Source organism: Homo sapiens, chromosome 2, assembly GCF_000001405.40.
Source record: "Homo sapiens chromosome 2, GRCh38.p14 Primary Assembly".
Classification (NCBI taxonomy): Eukaryota; Metazoa; Chordata; class Mammalia; order Primates; family Hominidae; genus Homo; species Homo sapiens.
In genome coordinates, this window is record NC_000002.12 from 109,936,541 (window position 1) to 109,958,180 (window position 21,640).

The following is a 21,640-nucleotide window of genomic DNA, read 5'->3' on the forward strand; positions in this document are numbered from 1 at the left end:
CAGGCATTAACACGCTTTATTCCCAGAGTTTTAATATTTTCCATTGCATAAAATATTTGTTCATGAAAATGACAAAATTGCTATTAGATTCTATCACCACATCTCTGTTGATTTTACTTTCTGCAAACACATACAAGTAATGTAGGCATACAGTTAAAAATGAAACCTTATCCTGTAGTTCCAGCTACTAGGGAGGCTGAAGCAAGAGAATGGCATGAACCTGGGAGGCGGAGCTTGTCGTGAGCCCAGATCAGGCCACTACACTCCAGCCGGGGCAACAGAGCGCAACTCCGTCTCAAAACAAACAAACAAAACAAAACAAAAAAAACTTATAGACAAGTACAAAATGAGAAGAAAAAGTCCCTTTCCCTTCATGCCTCTACTTCCTGCTGTATTCTCAAAGGTAAGCACTGATTACAGTTTACTTATGGATCTTTCCAGGAAAATATTTTATGCATTTATCAGAAAATGTAAGTATATGCATCCTTTAAAATTCTGCATAAATCAAACTCTGCAGGGTACTATCTTCCCATCCTCATTTGATATTTTGTAGATCTTTTCCTATTGGCTGTACAGATCACCTCATTCTGTCTCCTGGGTCATACAATATAGCTCACATAATTCTAAGTCTGAAGGTTGGTCCAAATGGTTCCAAGAATGCAGGTACCAAAAAGTAGTCTCTTGAAGAGGCCATCAGAGACCTGGCTGTTTGTATCTTCCTCCTCTGCCATCCACAGTGTCATCTTCACCCAAGGTGGCTGGAGAAGCTGTTAGGAATATGTGGTTTTTTAAAAATTACATTCATAGGAAAAGGGGAGGGAAGAGAAGAAGAAAACCTCTCCCCCTAAGCTCATGGCTCTTTTTAGTCAGGCTGAGCCAACTAAAGTCATGTACTTCCCTTAGATAGGTAACTGTTGCCAGGAAAATGCCCTGTGTGGATTGGCCTGGACTAAGCAGGATCCTCCTCTAAAGAGAGAGATGAGATGAATGCCTGACCCAAGTCTGGGATCTTGGGTGGGAAGCGTGTGGATAGTAGGTCAGAGGTCAGCAGTGTCTGTGGTGTAGGATGTAATCCCATCTCCACAGAGCTGCATACAAGTGTGTTTAAGTGTGTGCAAGTGATTAACTTTGATTAGTAGTTTCAACTCTTTACAATGAACATATTTATCTTTTTTAAAAAATAAAGCCATTTTAAAAGATCTTGCCATAAAACAATCATTCCTTAAGTCACCACTTAGGATAGACCTAGAATATTTGTCCTTTCTCAAGAGCACCAGAGAGTTTTCTGGTAATCCACGCAATAAACAGTTATAAAAGGTAATTGTTGAGATCAGGGGAAGATGGCAGATAGGAGGCAGTGCTAATGTGTAGCTCCCACATGGATGGACAAAACACCATGTGGAGACTCACACTGTGACCCTGTTGTGCTCCAAGAACTATCATAGGAACATACTGGGAAAACCAAAAGAATTCACGGATCCTTTGAAAGAAGACGCACACCACTGTAAATTCTGTGGAACAGGAGAAAAACTGTGAGTTCCCAAAGTGTAAGAAGGGGGAAACCTACCTTTGAACACACATCCCCACTGGGGAATCTAAAAATCCAGATCATAGGAGAAGGATTTAATCTTAACCAGAGATGAAATGAGTTTAGGGAGATGTAAGAAAAATAAAAGTATGAGAGTAGTAGTGGGAAGTGCCTTGAATGGACTCCCAGTCTCCAGCTTGAGCCCTAGGAAGCCATCCCTGACTGTATCTCACACAGCCACTCAGGGAAGGCAGCCAGTGGAACTGGAGAGGAGTTGCAGGGCAAAGGAAGCTCTCAACTGAAATTGGTAGTGGTTTTGACCGGGCACAAACTTTCTCGAGCAGAGTCTGGAGGATGAGCGGGAACTGCTGTGGATACAAGCAAGCGAGTGCAGGAGTGCAGGAGCTGCTGCTGGCAGAGTGGGCAGACAGGGAGGGGTGAGGTCCTTAAGCCACGCTTGCTTTCTCAGCAGGGTAGCTCACGGCCTGAGCAGGAGCACTGTGGGAGTGAGACCGACCTCGCCAACTGCTTGGGAACTGGGCGAGAGCTCGTATTAAGGGCTATCCAATGCTTTCCTGGAAAACTATATAACACAGCAGAGGGCCAAGATCCACTCTAGAACAGTACTCCATTAGCCTAAGAACCACTCCTTCATTCCCCCACAGTGGCTACTGCAAGCCCTGTCCAAGGAGAGTCTGACCCCAGACCCACCTAACCCTGCCCCCACTTGATGGTATTTCCCTAGCCACCCTGGTAGCCCAGCACAAAACACAGAACCTCTTGGGAGCTTTATGGCCATGCCCATCACCTGAGAAACCAAAATGCTTACCCTGGCCACCTTAGGACAAGCTTAGAGCCCCCTACTACTATGGCAGCTGGTGCTCTCTTGAAAGTGCCACCTCGTCGCTGGAGGCCAACCAACTCAAGCCATTACAGCAACTCATGACAGAATAATGCTGATCTTAGGAAGGAGAAGACAACACCTAATTCTACTGCCTGCAACATCCTGGCTAAACAGAGGTCCTGAAGATGTCCACGTGACAATTTCACTGTTATGACAACCAGCATTCAAGAAAGCCAGCACACTAAACCTATCTATAACCAAGGACTCTCACAGAGTCTACTTCACTTCCCTGCCACCTCTACCAGAGCAGGTGCTGGTATCCATGGCTTGGAGACCTGAAGACAGATCACATCACAGGAATCTTTGCAGACATCCCCCAGGACCAGTCCAGAGCCTGGTATCCTCACTGGTAGCTAGACCCAGAAGAGAAATAACAATCACTGCAGTCCAGCTCTCAGGAAGCCCCATTCCTAGAAGAAAGGGGAGAGCACTACATCAAGGGGTTACCCAGTGGGACAAGAGAATCTGAACAGCAGGCCTTGACTTTCAGATCTCCCCACTGTATTAGTCTACCCAATTGAGAAGGAAGAAAAGTAATTCTGGTAATATGACAAAACAGGGTTCTAGAACACCCTCAAAAGATCATACTGGCTCGCCAGCAATGGATCCAAACCAAGAAGAAATCTTTAAATTGTCAGATAAATAATTCAGAAGGTCAATTATTAAGCTATTCAAAGAGATACTAGAGAAAGGTGAAAACGAACGTAAAGAAATTGAAGGCCAGGTGTGGTGGCTCACGCCTGTAATCCCAACACTTTTGGAGGCCGAGGCAGGTGGATCACAAGATCAGGAGATCAAGACCATCCTGGCTAACACGGTGAAACCCCGTCTCTACTAAAAATACAAAAATTAGCCGGGTGTGGTGGTGGGCACCTGTAATCCCAGCTACTCGAGAGGCTGAGGCAGGAGAATTGCTTGAATCCGGGAGGTGGAGGTTGCAGTGAGCCGAGGTTGCACCACTGCACTCCAGCCTGGGTGACAGAGTGACCCAAAATAAATAAATAAATAAATAAAATAAAGAAATAAGAAAATACAGGATATGAGTGAAAATTTATCCAGGAAAATAGATATCATAAAGAAAAAACAATCACAATTTCTGGAAATGAAAGACACCTAGAGAAACACAAAATGCAATGGAACATTTTAACTACAGACTTGAACAAGTATAAAAAAGAACTTCAGGGCTCAAAGACAAAGCTTTCAAATTAACCCAATCAGACAAAGACAAAGGAAAAATAATTTTAAAAAATGAACAAAGCCTCCATGAAACTTGGGATTATGTTAAATGGCCAAACCTAAGAATGATTGGTGTTCCTGAGGAAGAAGAGAAATCTAAAATTTTGGAAAACTAATTTGAGGGAATAATTGAGGAAAACTTCCCTAGCATTGACAGAGATCTACACATCCAAATACAAGAAGCTCAAAGAACACCTGGGAAATTCATTGCAAAAAGACCATAACCTAGGCACATAGTCATCAGGTTATCTAAAGCCAAGACAGAGGAAACAATCTTAAGAGCTGTGAGACAATAGCACCAGATAACCTATAAAGGAAAACCTATCAGATTAACAGAAGACTTCTCAGCAGAAACCTTACAACCCAGAAGAGATTGGGGTCCCACCTTTAGCCTCCTGAAACAAAATAATTGTCAGTCAAGAATTTTGTATCCAGCAAAACTAAACATCGTAAATGAAAAAGAGAAAAGTATTTTTCAGCCAAACAAATGCTGAGAGAATTTGCCACTACTAAGCCAGCACTACCAGAAATGCTAAAAGGAGTTCCAAACCTTGAAACAAGACCTTGAAATACATCAAAATAGAACCTCTTTAAAGCATAAATCTCACAGGGCCTATATAACACGATGAAAAAAATTATTAAGGCAACAACTAGCATGATGAATAGAACAGTACCTCACATCTCAATACTAATGTTGAATGTAAATGGCCTAAATGCTCCACTTAAAAGACACAGAATGGCAGAATGAATAAAAATCCACCACTAAGTGTGTGCTGTCTTTGAGAGACTCACTTAAATGTATAAGGACTCACATAAATTTAAGGTAAAGAGGTGGGAAAAGATATTCCACGCAAATGGAAACCAAAAGTGAGCAGGAGTATCTATTCTTATATCAGACAAAACACACTTCAAAGCAACAACAGTAAAAAAAAGACAATAGGCACATTATACAATGATAAAAGAAATAGTTAAATGGGAAAATATTACAATCATAAATACATATGCACCGAACACTGAAGCTCCCAAATTTATAAAATAATTACTAGTAGACCTAAGAAATGAAATAGAAGGCAACATAGTAATAGTGGGGGACTTCAATACTCCATTGACAGTGCTAGACAGGTCATCAAGACAGAAAGTCAATAAAGAAACAATGGACTTAAACTAACTCTGGATCAAATGGACTTAACAAATATTTACAGAAGATTCTACCCAACAACTGCAAAATATACACTCTTTTCTTCAGCACATAGAAAATTTTCCAAAATAGACCATATGATAGGTCACAAAGCAAGTCAGTTAACTTAAGGAAATTGAAATTATATAAAGTATTCTCTCAGACCACAGTGGAATAAAACTGGAAACGACTCCAAAAGGACCCCCTAAAACTATACAAATACATGGAAATTAAATAATTTGCTCTTGAATGATGTTTGGGTCAACAATGAAATCAGGATGGAAATTTAAAAATTCTTTGAGTTGAACAATGACAGTGAAACAACTTATCAAAACCTCTGGGATACAGCAAAAGTGGTGCTAAGAGGAAAGTTTAAAGCATTAAATGCTTACATCAAAAAGTCTGAAAGAGCACAAGTAGGCAATTTAACATCATACTTCACGGAACTAGAGAAACAAAAACAAACCAAATCCAAACTCAGCAGAAAAAAAGTAAATAACAAAGATCAGAGCAGAACTAAATGAAATTAAAATTAAAAACACAAAACATAAATGAAACAAAAAGCAGTTTCTTTGAAAAGATAAAACACAATTGATAGACCATTACTGAGATTAACCAAGAAGATAGAAGATCCAAATAAGCTCAATTAGAAATGAAACTGGAGATATTACAACCAATACCCCAGAAATACAAAAGATCATTCAAGGCTACTATGAACACTTTTATGCACACAAATTAGAAAATCTGGAAGAGATGGATAAATTCCTCCCATATTAAATCACGAAAAAATAGAAACTCTGAACAGACCAATAATTAGCAAGATTGAAACAATAATAAAAAAATTTGCCAACAAAAAAATGTCCAGAACCAGATGGACTGACAGGTGAATTCTATTAGACATTCAAAGAAGAATTGATACCAATCTTACTGAAACTATTCCAAAAGATAGAAAAAGAGGGACTCCTCCATAAATCATTCTATGAAGCCAGTATCATCCTAATTCCAAAACTGGGAAAGGACATAACAATAAAAGAAAACTACAGACTAAGATCCCTGATGAACACAGATGCAAAAATACTCAACAAAATACTAGCTGAATCCAACAGCATATCAAAAAGGTAATACAATAGGATCAAGTGGGTTTCATACCAGAAATGCAAGGATGGTTTAACATTCACAAGTCAACAAATGTGACACATCACATCAACAGCATTAAAAACAAAAATCATATGATCATCTCAATCAATGCAGAAAAAGCATTTGATAAAATCCAGCAAAACTGGTATACAAGAGACATACCTCAAGGTTATAAAAGCCATCTATGACAAACCCACAGCCAACATGATACTGAATGGGGAAAAGTTGAAAGCTTTCTTCCTGAGAACTGGAACAAGACAAAGATGCCCACTTTCACAACTTTTATCCAGCGTAGTGCTGGAAGTTCTAGCCAAAGCAATCAGACAACAGAAAGAAATAAAGGGCATCTAAATTAGTAAAGAGGACGTCAAACTGTTGCTGTTCACCGATGATATAATTGTATGCCTAGAAAAGCCTAAAGACTCACCCAAAAAGCTCATAGATCTGATAAATGAATTCAATAAAGTTTTAGGATACAAAATCAATGTACACAAATCAGTAGCACTGCTGTACACCAACAACAAGACTGAGAAACAAATCAAGAACTCAATCCCTTTTACAACAGCTGCAAAAAATAAAATAAAATACTTTGGAATATACTGAACCAAGGAGGCGAAATATCTCTACAAGAAAAACTGCAAGACAGAAAGAAATCACTGATAACACAAACAAATGGAAGCACATTCCATGCTCATGGATGGGTAGACTCGATACTGTGAAAATGATCATGGTGCCAAAAGCAGTCTATGGATTCGATGCAATTCCCATCAAAATACCATCAGCATTTTTCATGGAGCTTTAAAAAGCAATCCTAAAATTCAAATGGAACCAAAAAAGACCCTACATAGCCAAAGCAAGACTAAGCAAAAAGAACACATCTGGAGGCATCACATCACCTGACTTTATACTACAAGGCTGTAGTTACCAAAACAGTATGGTACTGGTATGAAAACAGGCAAGTAGACCAATGGAACAGAATAGAGAACCCAGAAATAAAGCCAAATACTTACAGTTAACTGATCTTTGACAAAGCAAACAAAAACATAAAGTGGGGAAAGGACACCCTATTCAACAAATGGTGCAGGGATAACTGGGAAGCCACATGTAGAAGGGTAAAACTGAATCCTCATCTCTCAACTTATACAAAAATCAACTCAAGATGGATCAAAGACTTAAATCTAGGCCGAGCATGGGGGATCACAACTGTAATCCCAGCACTTTGGGAGGCCAAGGTGGCCAGATCACATGAGGTCAGGAGTTCAAGACCAGCCTTGCCAACATGGTGAAATCCTGTCTCTACCACAAATACAAAAAATTAGTCAGGCGTGGTGATGGGTGCCTGTAATCCCAGCTACTAGGGAGGCTCAGGCATGAGAACCTGAGAGTTGGGAGTTGCAGTGAGCGGAGATTGCTCTACTGCACTCCAGCCTGGGTGACAGAGTGAGATTGTCTCAAAAAAAAAAAAAAAAAAAGAAAAGAAAAGAAAAGAAAAAAGACTTAAAATCTAAGACCCAAAATCATAAACATTCCAGAAGATAACATCAGTAAAACTACCCTAGACATTGGTTTAGGCAAAGAGTTCGTTAACTACCAAGAACCCAAAAGCAAATGCAACAAAAACAAAAATAAATACATTGGACCTAATTAAGTTACAAGTTTCTGCATAGCAAAAGAAATAATCAGCAGAGTAAACAGACAACCCACAGAGAGGGAGAAAATATTCTCAAACTATGCATCTCACAAAGGACTAATATTTAGAATCTACAAGGAACTCAAACAAATCAGCAAGAAAAAAACAAATAATCCCATCAAAAAGTGGGCAAAGGAAATTAATAGACAATTCTCAAAAGAAGATGTACAAATGGCCAACACACACATGAAAAAATGCTCAGCATCACTATCAGGGAAATGCAAATTACAACCACAATGAGATACTACCTACTCTTGCAAGAATGGCCATAATTTAAAAATCAAAAAACAATAGATGTTGATGTGGATGTGGTGGAAAGGGAACACTTTTACACTGCTGTTGGGAATGTAAACTAGTACAACCACTATAGAAAACACTGTGGAGATTTTTTAAAGAGCTAAAAGTACAACTACCATTTGATCCAGTAATCCCACCACTGGGTATCTATCCAGAGGAAAAGAAGTCATTATATGAAATAGATATTGCACACTCATGTTTATAGCAGCACAACTCACAATTGCAACAATTTGGAACCAGCCTAAATGCCCATCCACCAATGAGTGGAAAAAGAAAACGTGGTGTATATGTGTACATATATATACATATACACCATGGAATACTACTCAGTGATAAGAATGAATGAAATAATGGCATTCACAGCAACCTCATGGAGTTTGAAACCATTATTCTAAGTGTAGTAACTCAGGAATGGAAAACCAAATATTGTATATTCTCACTTATAACTGGAAGCTAAGCTACGAGGATTCAAAGGCATAAGAATTACAAATTGGACTTTGGGGACACCGGAGAAATGGGGGAAGGGTGGTTAAGGATAAAAAACTACGTATTGGGCACAACGTACACTGCTCGGATGATGTGTGCACCAAAATCTCAGATATCACCACTAAAGAACTTATCTATGTAACAAAAACCACCAGTTCCCCCAAAACTACTGAATTTCTTTTTTAAAAAAGGTAATTAAGATACCTTGTAGACAAGGACCTTTGATTACACATTGGTAGAAATTTCACTTTACCATTTCAGCCACCATATGCCTGCTGTCTGCCCGGGGCTTGGGATTCAAAGACAAATGTTTCCAGTTCCCTTCCTCCCACAGGTGCTTGTGGCCTGGTGGGAAGCAGGCAACATGTGCACATAGATCAAAGGAAGCACCAAGTAGCTGTTTTCACGAAGGGTGTGGTGAGCACAGAAAGGAAGCCACCTGTTGGCCTGGAGAAGTTGAGGAAGGGCTCTCAGGGGATGTTAGAACTGAGTGGTAACAGTCAGAGGAGAGGGGTGAAGTGCCATGCCTGGCATGCCTGCCGAGAAACTGTGGCCACATGCAGTTCTCATTGCAGGCCAGCCTCCAGCTAGGACACAATTCTGGTGTTGCAATGCAGGTCAGTGTCCTGTATTAGTTTTCTATGCTGCATAACACATTGCCACATGGATTCTCTGCTCGGTGTCTCACAAGGTGGGAATAAAGGTGTCAGCAAATTGTGTTCCTTTCTGCAAGGCCCTGGGGAAGAATTCACTTTTGAGCTCATTCAAATTGTCAGCAGAACTTTAGTTCCTTGCAGTTCCCTTCATCCTCGAGGCAACAGCGTCCCATCCAGGCACACTGAGTCTTTCATAAGCTTCAAATGTCTCCTCTCCCCTGTCTTGCTCTTTAGGGTTTAAGGGTGATTCCACCAGGCCAACCCAGATAAATCCAGGATAACCTCCCTATTTTAAAGTCAACTGATTAGAAACCTGTCCACAAGGCTCTTTTGCCTTGTAAAGTAACAGATTCATAGTCCCAGAAATTAGGGTTTGAATTCTCTTAGAGGACTATAATGCTGCCTGCCAGTCTCCCACCTGGAACTTGCCAGAAATCAGCACCTAGCACTAAGTCTTTATTTAATTTTTTATGTTTAGAGAGCAGTATTGCTGTTGCCCAGGCTGGATTACAGTGGTGCAATCACCACTCACTGCAGCCTCAACCTCCTAAGCTCAAGCCATCCTTCATCTCTGCCTAGACTAGCCAACTATAGGTTTGCCACCATGCCCAGCTCTTTTTTTTTTTAAAGAGATCTGGTCTGGATATGTTGCCTAGGCAGGTATCAAACTCTTGGGCTTGGACAATCCTCTTGTGTCTGGAGTTGGTTCCTTCCGGTGGGTTCCTGGTCTTCAAGAATGAAGCCATGGACCTTGCTGGTGAGTGTTACAGCTCTTAAAGATGGCAGGGACCCTGCAGTAGCAAGGTTTATTGTGAAAACAGAAAGAATAAAGCTTCCGCAAAGCTGACCGGGACCCAAGCAGTTGTCGCTGCCGGCTGCGGTGGTGGCCAGCTTTTATTCCCTTATTGGCCCCTCCCATGTTCCGTTTCTGTCCTATCAGAGTGCCCTTTTTTCAATCCTCCCCGCAATTGGCTACTTTTAGAATACCGCTGATTGGTGCATTTTACAGAGCACTGATTGGTGCGTTTTACAATTTTCTTGTAAGACAGAAAAGTTCCTGATTGGTGCATTTTACAATCCTCTTGTAAGAAAAGTTCCCCAAGTCCCCACTGCACTCAGGAAGTCCAGCTGGCTTCACTTGTCACTCCCGCCTTGGCCTCCCAGAATGCTGGGATTACAGGCATGAGCCACTGGCTTGGCCTAGCACCAAGTCTTGATGAACCACCCAGAGGGACATCACACCTCATGCCAGGTGACAGGGATTGTCACAGTCCCGCCAGGCTTCTCCCTCCTCTGGGAGGAGTCAGTGAAGTTGGTTGGTACAGGAGCCCAGGACCACCTGCTTTGCCCGCCAGGGCTTACCTGACAGTTGGCCGGCAAGTACTTACCATTATTATTGTTTTAACTTCATGATCAACGTTTTAAAAAATCAGGAGCGGTCTCATTAAAACTCAGATTTCCGCTTTCTCTTGAAAATTCAGCAGCTCTGGCAACCCTGAGTTCCAGGTCAGGCTGGAACTGGGGGCGCCCCATGGGAAGAGGGGAGGGCGCGCGCCCCCTCTCGGGAGGTATTTGCCTCGAGAGGCCCCACTAGGAGCCCACACTACGCTCTCCTGGGGGGTCCCCTAGGACGGGGAGGGAACTAATAATTACTGGGCCCTCCCCAGCGGCAGCCGTGGCTCCTACATTAGCTGGTTTAATTCTCCAAACAGGTCTTGGAGGAAGGCATCCTTCTATTCTACTGATCAGAAAGCTGGACAAAGTCCCACTGCCAGGCTACACAGTTGGTGCCATTTGCGGAGGTGACCTTTGACCTTTAACCCACGCGGCCACCCGCCCGAGCTCTTACCCCTGCTGCCCCTCGCGCGTCCCACTCCCCGTCCCTGCCGGATCCGCTTCCCTGCGCTGGGCCCAGCGCGCCGCCAGGGAAGGGGCCGGAGCCTGGGAGCCCGCCCCGCCGTCGCCCGTCCTCCGCCCGCAGGCCCACCCGCAGCGGTCACGTGAAGGACCGAGCGCCGCGCGCCCAGGCGGGGCCTCCGGCCTGCACGAGGAGGGCAGAGTCCGTTGCGGCTGCCGCCCCGACGCCCGCGCATCCCCGCTCGCCGCGCCCGCCGCCGCGATGTCCGGGGCCGGCCTAGCCGCGGTGGTGAGCTGCCTGCGCCCGCAGCCCGGCGAGGAGCCGCAGACCCATGAGGTAAGGAGGACTTCCTGGCTGTGCTCGGAGGGCGCCCGGACGGCAGCGCCTCCTGCCCCTTCGTTGCCCTCCTGGTGCCGGGCGCCTCCGGGACTCCCAGGGAGAAAGCGAACCCGCTGGAAGCCACGGCCGGCTGCAGAGAATGAGGGCCCTTGGGGGTCAGCGGGACTAGGAACCCCTCTGCTTTCGGTCTTTCTCGGTTCCCTGCTCATTGGGCTGCTCAGCTGGGAGGCGCACCGCCAGCTAGAGCGCAGCCCGCACGTTGTAGTCAAGCGACCCGACAAGCCTCCCACTCTCCGGGGCTGAGCAGGGATCGGTGCTGGGGCTCCAGATTAGGGGCCATCCTCACTCAGTGAGGCGCGCACCCTTGTTTGGTGACCAATGCGCGTCCCCACAGAACTCCAAGGCAGCAGGAAAACGCCCGGAAAGAAGGCTGCAGGATGTGGGCCCCGGGAGTGCTGATGCAGCCCCGGGTCTTCCGATGCCTGCGGGACACAGCAGAAGGGCTGCGCAGCCGCTCAGGGTCTGTTTCGCTGCGATAGCCTGAGCTTCTTCGAAAGAGTTTGAGCTTCCAAGCGACCCTTCTTGATCTATTTTCTTGCACTGGACAAGAACTAAGACAGTGGAGAGGGAGGCAGGACTTCAATGGCAGGAGCCCCTGCTCTGATTCAGGAAATCTGAGGCCTGAATTACAGTATGATGGGCCGTCAGAAGTCATGAAGATCATGGGTGACAACGTCGGTCAGGCCCTGGCACAGTGCCTGGCACAGTCATGACAGCCAATCTTTAGACCCCTCAGGGTCCATGCTGCATCTCCTTTGCGTTGTGCAAGTGTGTGGGAGGTGGAGAGCGTTTTTGTTCAGTCTCCCTCTTAGTCTTGAACTGGCCCCCTTCAGCTCTGGGCTGCTGCATTATCACCCCTGCCGCTTCCCACTGGGCTCTTGAAGCCTGCTGGAGAGGGTCCACAGGGCAGGCTTGTGTGTGGAGTTGAAAAGCTCTGCCAGTCAGGGTGAGGTGGCTCAAGGCTGTAATCCTAGCTGCTCCACAGACTGAGATGGGAAGATTGCTTGAGGCCAGGAGGTTGAGGTTGCAGTGAGCTATCACTGTGCCACTGCACTCCAGCCTGGGCAAAAGAGCAAGACCCCATCTAAAAAAAAAAAAAAAAAAAAAAAGCTCTGGTGCATACGTCTCCCTCTCTGGCCTGCAGGTCAGAGAGGTTTTGATGGAAAAACCTCCACACCAAAGGGGCTTGACCACATCCAACAGATGCATTCTACCATATGTCCTATCCCTCGAGAGAGCAGGTAAAGGAAAGGAGGGGGAAGTTCCTTTGTCCCCAGCTTTGGCCTTGCTTCTGCCATCTGAGATAACATCATTGATTGAGTCATTAAATCAGAGAAGGCATCTAGATCTTCTTCCCTCCCCAGGTTCTGACCTCGGGCACTCAATGGCCAATATAACTGGGTTAACCTTATTTAAGAATTAGTTTGGATTCATGTAACTAGAACCTGCCTAGTCACCTGAAATGCATTAACCCCCTCTCCTTTCAAATACTTATTTTTAAGACTCTTTTGTGATTGGAGTTTCTTTTTTTTTTGGCTACTAAGATGGCAATCTACTTCTTTGGGGGAATTTACCAACACTTTGAACTTTGAAATAGAAAGAACCCAATGCTAGTGATTCTCAATTTTGCCATTGGTTAGCATTAGCTAAGGAGCTTTTAGGACTGTATCCAGTTCAGCCTCTACCCCTGAGATTCTGATGTAATTGATATGGATGCGTCCTGGGCAGTAGTAAGTTTCAGGCTACTGAGTGATTCAAAAGTGCCACCAGGGTTGAGAGCCTGTGTCTTATGCCATTCCTTTGTGACAGTTCTATGTTAACCTCTTGATACTTTTATGTGCTTCTTTTTGAATGTTCTTGTTCTTAAACCTGTTCGTGCAGATCCTGCATTACCCTGCTTTGCGGTCTTAATCCACTGGTGCTCCCTTTTAGCAATTTGCAGAGCTGTTGTTTGCAGTAACCAGGAGGGCTTGAGAAAGTGTTCCACTCAGGTGGTCCAAGGAGCAACATAAAGCCAGTGGGCTAGGTAGCAATGATTCAGTGAGGGAGAGGAGTGGGGTTTGTGATGACCTGATGGCATGTCCCCTGCCCAAAGAAGACCACAGCTACCCACCTCCAGTTGACCACGGCTATCATAGATTGCAAAAATGGCCAGAAAGTCTTCCCATCCCTGAATACATACCCTTTTTGCAATGTGCCTTTGCAACTCCTTATATCAAGAGGTGGGATCTGTTTCTCCAGCGCTTGAATCTGGGTTTGGCCATGAGACTTGCTTTGGCTGATGGGACATTAGTAGATGGGATACAGGCAGAGGTGTGAAAGGCACTCAGACATTGGTGCTTGCTCTCCTGATGCGCTTGGGAAACTTTGACCACGACCCGTGGAAGAGCCCTGGCTAGCCTGCTGCAGGACGCACATGGCCAAGATATGTGAGCAAGGCTGTTCTAGACCATCCAGTCCCAGATGACCACAGAGATCAGCTAAGTTGGCCCAGACCAGGACTGCCCAGCTGACCCACAGAATTGGGGAAAATAATAAGTGTTTATTTAGGTGACCAAGAATCAGGGTGGGTAGCAAAAACTTATTGAAATACAGCGCAGCATGGCTGAATGTTATAATCTTTTAAAGCGAAGCCAGAAGTTCAAATTTTTGTGTAAGCTCCAGCTTTTAAAAAATTGGAATGAGTAACCAGCATCTAAAAACACTCTCTGGGCCAAACAAAACACAACTTTAGGCTGCACTTGGCCTGTCAGTTGTTGGTTTGCTACTTTCTTTATAGAGGAACATAAGGTCTTTACCCTAATACCTCATTGCCACCTACTCAGTCACCCTTCTCCCACAACTGCTGTGCCCTGTCCTATCCCCCGCAGCTGTTTCTTCGTATAAAATGTCCACAATGTGTGTCAAGACCCCAGCTTTTCCAGGCAGTCTTTTTGTGTGGAAATAGAAGCTGCTGGGATTGCCAATCTTCATGGAGAAAGTGAAATTTGAGACAGGTGTCCAGTGAAGGAAAGTGGAAAAAAATACTCCTGGTTTTAAGTGAGCGTGAGATCAGGCACGGAGGTGGGTTCATAGAGGGACAGTGGACAAGTCCACCAATTTTGGCCAGAGAAAAGTGTTCCTATAGGGGAAGTGAGGGAGATTAAATTGGAGACAGGAGTAGAGGAGAGATTGTGGAGCCCCCAAATGCTAAGCCAAGGGTTTTGCACTCGATTGGACAAAGAGAAATCGCTTTAGGCAGAGAGAAATCACCTGATGCTTTTGAATGGGGGGGTCTCATGAGGAAAGCAGTAATCTATTCTATCAGTATGCAGGAAGAGCTTGTGGGAGGACACGGTGTACTGAGGGAGACAGAAGGTACAGTAGCCTCTCTTATCCATGGTTTTTTTGGTTTTGTTTTCTGCGGTTCCAGTTACTCTAGGTCAACTGCAGTCCAAAAATATCCAATAAAAATTTACAGAAATAAACAATTCATAAGTTTTCAATTGTGCACTGTTCTGAGTAGCATGGTGAAATCTCCGGATGTCCTGCTCTGTCCACCTGGGACGTGAATCATCTCTTTGTCCCACGTATCTATGCAGTAGACACTACCTGCCCACTAGTCACTTAGTAGCTGTTGGGTTATCAGATTGAAAAGACATAGTATATACAGGGTTTGGTACTATGCTCAGTTTCAGGAACTAACTGGGGGTCTTGGAACCTATTCTTCTCAATTAAGGGGGGACTACTGTGTAGTGTTTTTAGTAAGGAAAGGAGCATTGGAATTGGAAAGAAAAATGGAGAAGTGGAAGAATTTAACTTAAAATTTATGGGAACTTCTCTTTACCTTAAGTTATAGTTAATTATGTTAATGTTCTTACCTGTATAACCAAGACATATTGGCTGTTTTCAAAACACTTCTTCTTTTTCTTTTTCTTTTTTTTTTTTTGTTGTTGTTGTTGTTTTGAGATGGAGTCTCGCTCTGTCGCCCAGGCTGGAGGGCAGTGGCGCGATCTCGGCTCACTGCAAGCTCCGCCTCCCGGGTTCACGCCATTCTCCTGCCTCAGCCTCCCGAGTAGCTGGGACTACAGGCGCCCGCCACCACGCCCGGCTAATTTTTTGTATTTTTAGTAGAGATGGGGTTTCACTGGGTTAGCCAGGATGGTCTCGATCTCCTGAGCTCGTGATCCGCCCACTTTGGCCTCCCAAAATGCTAGGATTATAGGCGTGAGCCACCACACCTGACCTCAAAACACTTCTATCAACAACTTTGCATTTTGCCTAGGTTATTTTTGACTGACTTAAAGGTATTTGGGGGCTTACAATGGTTTATTACTACCACAGTTAATACTGAAGGAGGCGTTTGCTGGGTTCATAGAGAAGGAACTTTCTTGCTCTCTCCACTGAGAGCCTCTGGAGTCTTATCTTTCCCTCCTTCCTGCATTCCTTTCACCCTCTAAGGGATTCCAAGGGATTCATCTTCCCCAGAATGAAGGCTTACTGAGTTGAGGGGTGGGGATGGAAGAGAAAACACAAAATCCTTAACAACATTTTTAAGTCTTGGGAGGAGGAAAATAAATATCACAGCTCTGAGAAGAAGAGAAAGAGAAAATCAAGAGAAGGCAATTATTGTCATGGTGCAATTAAAATAGAAAACAGGAGGGGTGCAGTGGTTGTTACCTGTGATCCCAGCACTTGGGGAGGCCAAGCTGGATGGATTGCTTGAGCCCAGGAGATTTTGAACAGCCAGGACAACATGGCAAAACCTGTCTCTACAACAAAAATTAGCTGGGCATGGTGGCGTGCACCTGTAGCTCCAGCTACTCAGGAGGCTGAGGCAGGAGAATCGCTTGAGCTTGGAGGTGGAGGCTGCAGTAAGCCATGATCATGCCACTGCACTCTAGCCTGGGCAACAGAGTAAGACCCTGCCTCAGAAAAAAAAAAAAAAAAAGAAAGGAAAGGAAAATAGAAGAAATACTAGGAAAATGGCTATATTTACATCAGTGGTTTTCAGTCTTGACTGCATGTTCAAATCATTTGTGAACTTTAAAAGATTAATCGTGGGAGGGTCCATTCCAAGATGGCCAAATAGGAACAGCTCCAGTCTGCAGCTCCCAGTGTGATCGATGCAGAAGACGGGTGATTTCTGCATTTCCAACTGAGGTACATGGTTCATCTCATTGGGACTGGTTGGACAGTGGGTGCAGCCCATGGAGGGTGAGCTGAAGCAGGGCAGGGCATCGCCTCACCTGGGAAGTGCAAGGGGTCAGGGGATTTCCCTTTCCTAGCTGAGGGAAGCTGTGAAAACTGTACCTGGAAAAACAGGACATGCCCACCCAAATACTGTGCTTTTCCAATGGTCTTAGCAAATGGCATACCAGGAGATTATATCCCGCCCCTGGCTCAGTGGGTCCCACACCCACGGAGCCTTGCTCACTGCTAGCGCAGCAGTCCAAGATCGAACTGTGAGGCTGCAGCCTGTCTGGGGGACGGGCATTCACCATTGCTGAAGCTTGAGTAGGTAAACAAAGCATCCAGGAAGCTTGAACTGGGTGGAGCCCACCACAGCTCAACAAGGCCTGCCTGCCTCTGTAGACTCCACCTCTGGGGGAAGGGCATAGCTGAACAAAAGGCAGCAGAAACTTCTGCAGATTTAAAACATCACTGTCTGAAGAGAGCAGTGGTTCTCCGAGCACAATGTTTGAGCTCTGAGAATGGACAGACTGCCTCCTCAAGTGGGTCCCTGACCCCCGTGTTGCCTAACTTGGAGACACCTCCCAGTAGGGGCCGACTGACACCTCATACAGCCAGGTGCCCCTCTGAGAGAAAGCTTCCAGAGGAAGGATCAGGCAGCAACATCTGCTGTTTTGCAATATTTGCTGTTCTGCAGCCTCCGCTGGTGATACCCAGGCAAACAGGGTCTGGAGTGGACCTCCAGCAAACTCCAACAGACCTGCAGCTGAGGGACCTGACTGTTAGAAGGAAAACTAACAAACAGAAAGAAATAGCATCAACATCAACAAAAAGGTCATCCACACCAAAAACCCATCTGTAGGTCACCATCATCAAAGACCAAGGGTAGATAAAACCACAAAGATGGGGAGAAACCAGAGCAGAAAATCTGAAAATTGTAAAATCCAGAGCACCTCTTCTCCTCCAAAGGATTGCAGCTCCTCACCAGCAACGGAACAAAGCTGGACAGAGAATGACTTTGACGAGTTGACAGAAATAGGCTTCAGAAGGTCGGTAATAACAAACTTCTCTGAGCTAAAGGAGGATGTTTGAACCCATCGCAAGGAAGCTAAAAACCTTGAAAAAAGATTAGACGAATGGCTAACTAGAATAAACGGCGTAGAGAAGACCTTAAATGACCTGATGGAGCTGAAAACCGTGGCACAATAACTATGTGACGCATGAAGAAGCTTCAGTAGCCAATTCGATCAAGTGGAAGAAAGGGTATCAGTGATTGAAAATCAAATTAATGAAATGAAGTGAGAAGAGAAGTTTAGAGAAACAAGAGTAAAAAGAAATGAACAAAGCCTCCAAGAAATATGGGACTATGTGAAAAGACCAAATCTATGTTTGATTGGTGTACCTCAAAGTTATGGGGAGAATGGAACCAAGCTGGAAAACACTTGTCAGGATGTTATCCAGAAGAACTTCCCCAACCTAGCAAGGCAGGCCAACATTCAAATTCAGGAAATACAGAGAACACCACAAAGATACTCCTCGAGAAGAGCAACCGCAAGATACATAATTGTCAGATTCACCAAAGTTGAAATGAAGGAAAAAATGTTAAGGGCAGCCAGAGAGAAAGGCCGGGTTACCCACAAAGGGAAGCCCATCAGACTAACAGCGGATCTCTCGGCAGAAACTACAAGCCAGAAGAGAGTGGGGGCCAATATTCAACATTCTTAAAGAAAAGAATTTTCAACCCAGAATTTCATATCCAGCCAAACTAAGCTTCATAAATGAAGGATAAATAAAATCCTTAACAGACAAACAAATGCTGAGAGATTTTGTCACCACCAGGCCTGCCTTACAAGAGCTCCTGAAGGAAGCACTAAACATGGAAAGGAACAACCGGTACCAGCCACTGCAAAAACATGCCAAATTGTAAAGACCGTCGATGCTAGGAAGAAACTGCATCAACTAACAGGCAAAATAACCAGCTAACATCATAATTACAGGATCAAATTCACACATAACAATATTAACCTTAAAGGTAAATGGGCTAAATGCCCCAATTAAAAGACACAGACTGGCAAATTGGATAAAGAATCAAGACCCATCAGTGTGCTGTATTCAGGATACCCATCTCACATGCAGAGACACACATAGGCTCAAAATAAAGGGATGGAGGAAGATCTGCCAAGCAAATGGAAAGCAAAAAAAAAGCAGGGGTTGCAATCCTAGTCTCTGATAAAACAGACTTTAAACCAACAAAGATCAAAAGAGAAAGAAGGCCATTACATAATGGTAAAGGGATCAATTCAACAAGAAGAGCTAACTATCCTAAATATATATGCACCCAATACAGGAGCATCCAGATTCATAAAGCAAGTCCTTAGAGACCTAGAAAGAGACTTAGACTCCCACACAATAATAATGGGAGACTTTAACAACCCCCTGTCAATTTTAGACAGATCAACGAGACAGAAGGTTAACAAGGATATCCAGGACTTGAACTCAGCTCTGCACCAAGCAGACCTAATAGACATCTACAGAACTCTCCACCCCAAATCAACAGAATCTACATTCTTCTCAGCACCACATCGCACTTACTCCAAAATTGACCACTTAGTTGGAAGTAAAGCACTCCTCAGCAAATGTAAAAGAACAGAAATTACAACAAACTGTCTCACAGACCACAGCGCAATCAAATTAGAACTCATGACTAAGAAACTCACTGAAAACCGCACAACTACATGGAAACCGAACAACCTGCTCCTGAATGACTACTGGGTAAATAACGAAATTAAGGCTGAAACAAAGATGTTCTTTGAAACCAACGAGAACAAAGACACAATGTACCAGAATCTCTGGGACACTTTTAAAGCAGCATGTGAGGGAAATTTATAGCACTAAATGCCCGCAAGAGAAAGCAGGGAAGTTCTAAAATCGACACCCTAACATCACAATTAAAAGAACTAGAGAAGCAAGAACAAACACATTCAAAAGCTAGCAGAAGACAAGAAATAACTAAGATCAGAGCCGAACTGAAGAAGATAGAGACAGAAAAAAAACCTTGAAAAAATCATTGAATCCAGGAGCTGGTTTTTTGAAAAGATTAACAAAATTGATAGACCGCTAGCAAGACTAATAAAGAAGAAAGGAGAGAAGAATCAAATAGATGCAATAAAAAATGATAAAGAGGATATCACCACCGATCCCACAGAAATACAAACTGCCATCAGAGAATACTATCAATACTTCTACACAAGTAAACTAGAAAATCTAGAAGAAATGGATAAATTCCTGGATGCATACACCCTCCTAAGACTAAACCAGGAAGAAGTCGAATCCCTGAATAGACCAATAACAGGCTCAGAAATTGAGGCAGTAATTAATAGCCTACCAACCGAAAAAAGTCCAGGACCAGACCGATTCACAGCTGAATTCCACCAGAGGTACAAAGAGGAGCTGGTACCATTCCTTCTGAAACTATTCCAATCAATAGAAAAAGAGGCAATCCTCCATAACTCATTTTATGAGGCCAGCATCATCCTGATACCAAAGCCTGGCAGAGACACAACAAAAAAAGAGAATTTTAGACCAATATCCCTGATGAACATCGGTGCGAAAATCCTCAATAAAATACTGGCAAACTGAATCCAGCAGCACATCAAAAAGCTTATCCACCAAGATCAAGTTGGCTTCACCCCTGGGATGCAAGGCTGGTTCAACATACACAAATTAATAAATGTAATCTATCACATAAACAGAACCAAAGACAAAAAACACACAATTATCTCAATAGATGCAGAAAAGGCCTTTGACAAAATTCAACATCCCTTCATGCTAAAATCTCTCAATAAACTAGGTATTGATGAAATGTATCTCAAAATACTAAGAGCTATTTATGACAAACCCACAGCCAATATCATACTGAATGGGCAAAAACTGGAAGCATTCCCTTTGAAAACTGGCACAAGACAGGGATGTCCTCTCTCGCCACTCCTATTCAACATAGTGTTGGAAGTTCTGACCAGGGCAATCAGGCAAGAGAAAGAAATAAGGGGTATTCAATTAGGAAAAGAGGAAGTCAAATTGTCCCTGTTTGCAGATGACATGATTGTATATTTAGAAAACCCCATCATCTCAGCCCAAAATCTCTTTAAGCTGATAAGCAACTTCAGCAAAGTCTCAGGAGACAAAATCAATGTGCAAAAATCACAAGCATTTCTATACACCAATAACAGACAGAGAGCCAAATCATGAGTGAACTCCCATTCACAATTGCTACAAAGAGAAAAAAATACCTAGGAATCCAACTTACAAGGGACGTGAAGGACCTCTTCAAGGAGAACAACAAACCACTGCTCAATGAAATAAAAGAGGACACAAACAAATGGAAGAACATTCCATGCTCATGGACAGGAAGAATCAATATTGTGAAAATGGCCATACTGCCCAAGGTAATTTATAGATTCAATGCCATCCCCATCAAGCTACCAATGACTTTCTTCACAGAATTAGAAAAAACTACTTTAAAGTTCATATGGAACCAAAAAAGAGCCCTCATTGCCAAGACAATCCCAAGCAAAAAGAACAAAGCTGGAGGCATCACGCTACCTGACTTCAAACTATACTACAAGGCTACAGTAACCAAAACAGCATGGTACTGGTACCAAAACAGAGATATAGACCAATGGAACAGAACAGAGGCCTCAGAAATAACACCACACATCTACAACCATCTGATCTTTGACAAACCTGAGAAAAACAAGCAATGGGGAAAGGATTCCCTATTTAATAAATGGTGCTGGGAAAACTGGCTAGCCGTATGTAGAAAGCTGAAACTGGATCCCTTCCTTATGCCTTATACAAAAATTAATTCAAGGTGGATTAAAGGCTTAAATGTTAGACCTAAAACCATAAAAACCCTAGAAGAAAACCTAGGCAATACCATTCAGGACATAGACATGGGCAAGGACTTCATGACTAAAACACCAAAAGCAATGGCAACAAAAGCCGAAAGAGACAAATGGGATCTAATTAAACTAAAGAGTTTCTGCACAACAAAAGAAAATGCCATCAGAGTGAAAAGGCAACCTACAGAATGGGAGAAAA

The 21,640-nt window shown here is 43.7% G+C and overlaps 2 long non-coding RNA genes and 1 pseudogene across 4 annotated transcripts in view; 2 read left to right on the plus strand and 1 right to left on the minus strand.

The window, feature by feature from the left end:
* On the minus strand, window positions 1–10,830 carry LOC124907865 (uncharacterized). Its single transcript, XR_007087176.1, has 2 exons — window positions 10,500–10,830; window positions 1–767 (listed from the first exon to the last, which is right to left on the minus strand). It is a non-coding gene; the product is annotated as an uncharacterized LOC124907865 (long non-coding RNA).
* The window catches only part of LIMS3-LOC440895 (LIMS3-LOC440895 readthrough), a 70,143-nt gene that overhangs the window by 38,109 nt on the left and 10,394 nt on the right, over window positions 1–21,640 (plus strand). The window contains exons 13-15 of the long non-coding RNA NR_027145.2: window positions 179–403; window positions 1,435–1,532; window positions 10,824–11,305. This is a non-coding gene — a long non-coding RNA (LIMS3-LOC440895 readthrough). The remainder of the gene's footprint in view (window positions 1–178; window positions 404–1,434; window positions 1,533–10,823; window positions 11,306–21,640) is intronic.
* Window positions 11,150–21,640, plus strand: part of LOC440895 (two pore channel 3 pseudogene) — a 20,885-nt pseudogene continuing 10,394 nt past the window's right edge. For both annotated transcript variants that reach the window (NR_027143.3, NR_027142.1), the window contains exon 1: window positions 11,150–11,305. The product of NR_027143.3 is annotated as a two pore channel 3 pseudogene, transcript variant 1 (transcript). The remainder of the gene's footprint in view (window positions 11,306–21,640) is intronic.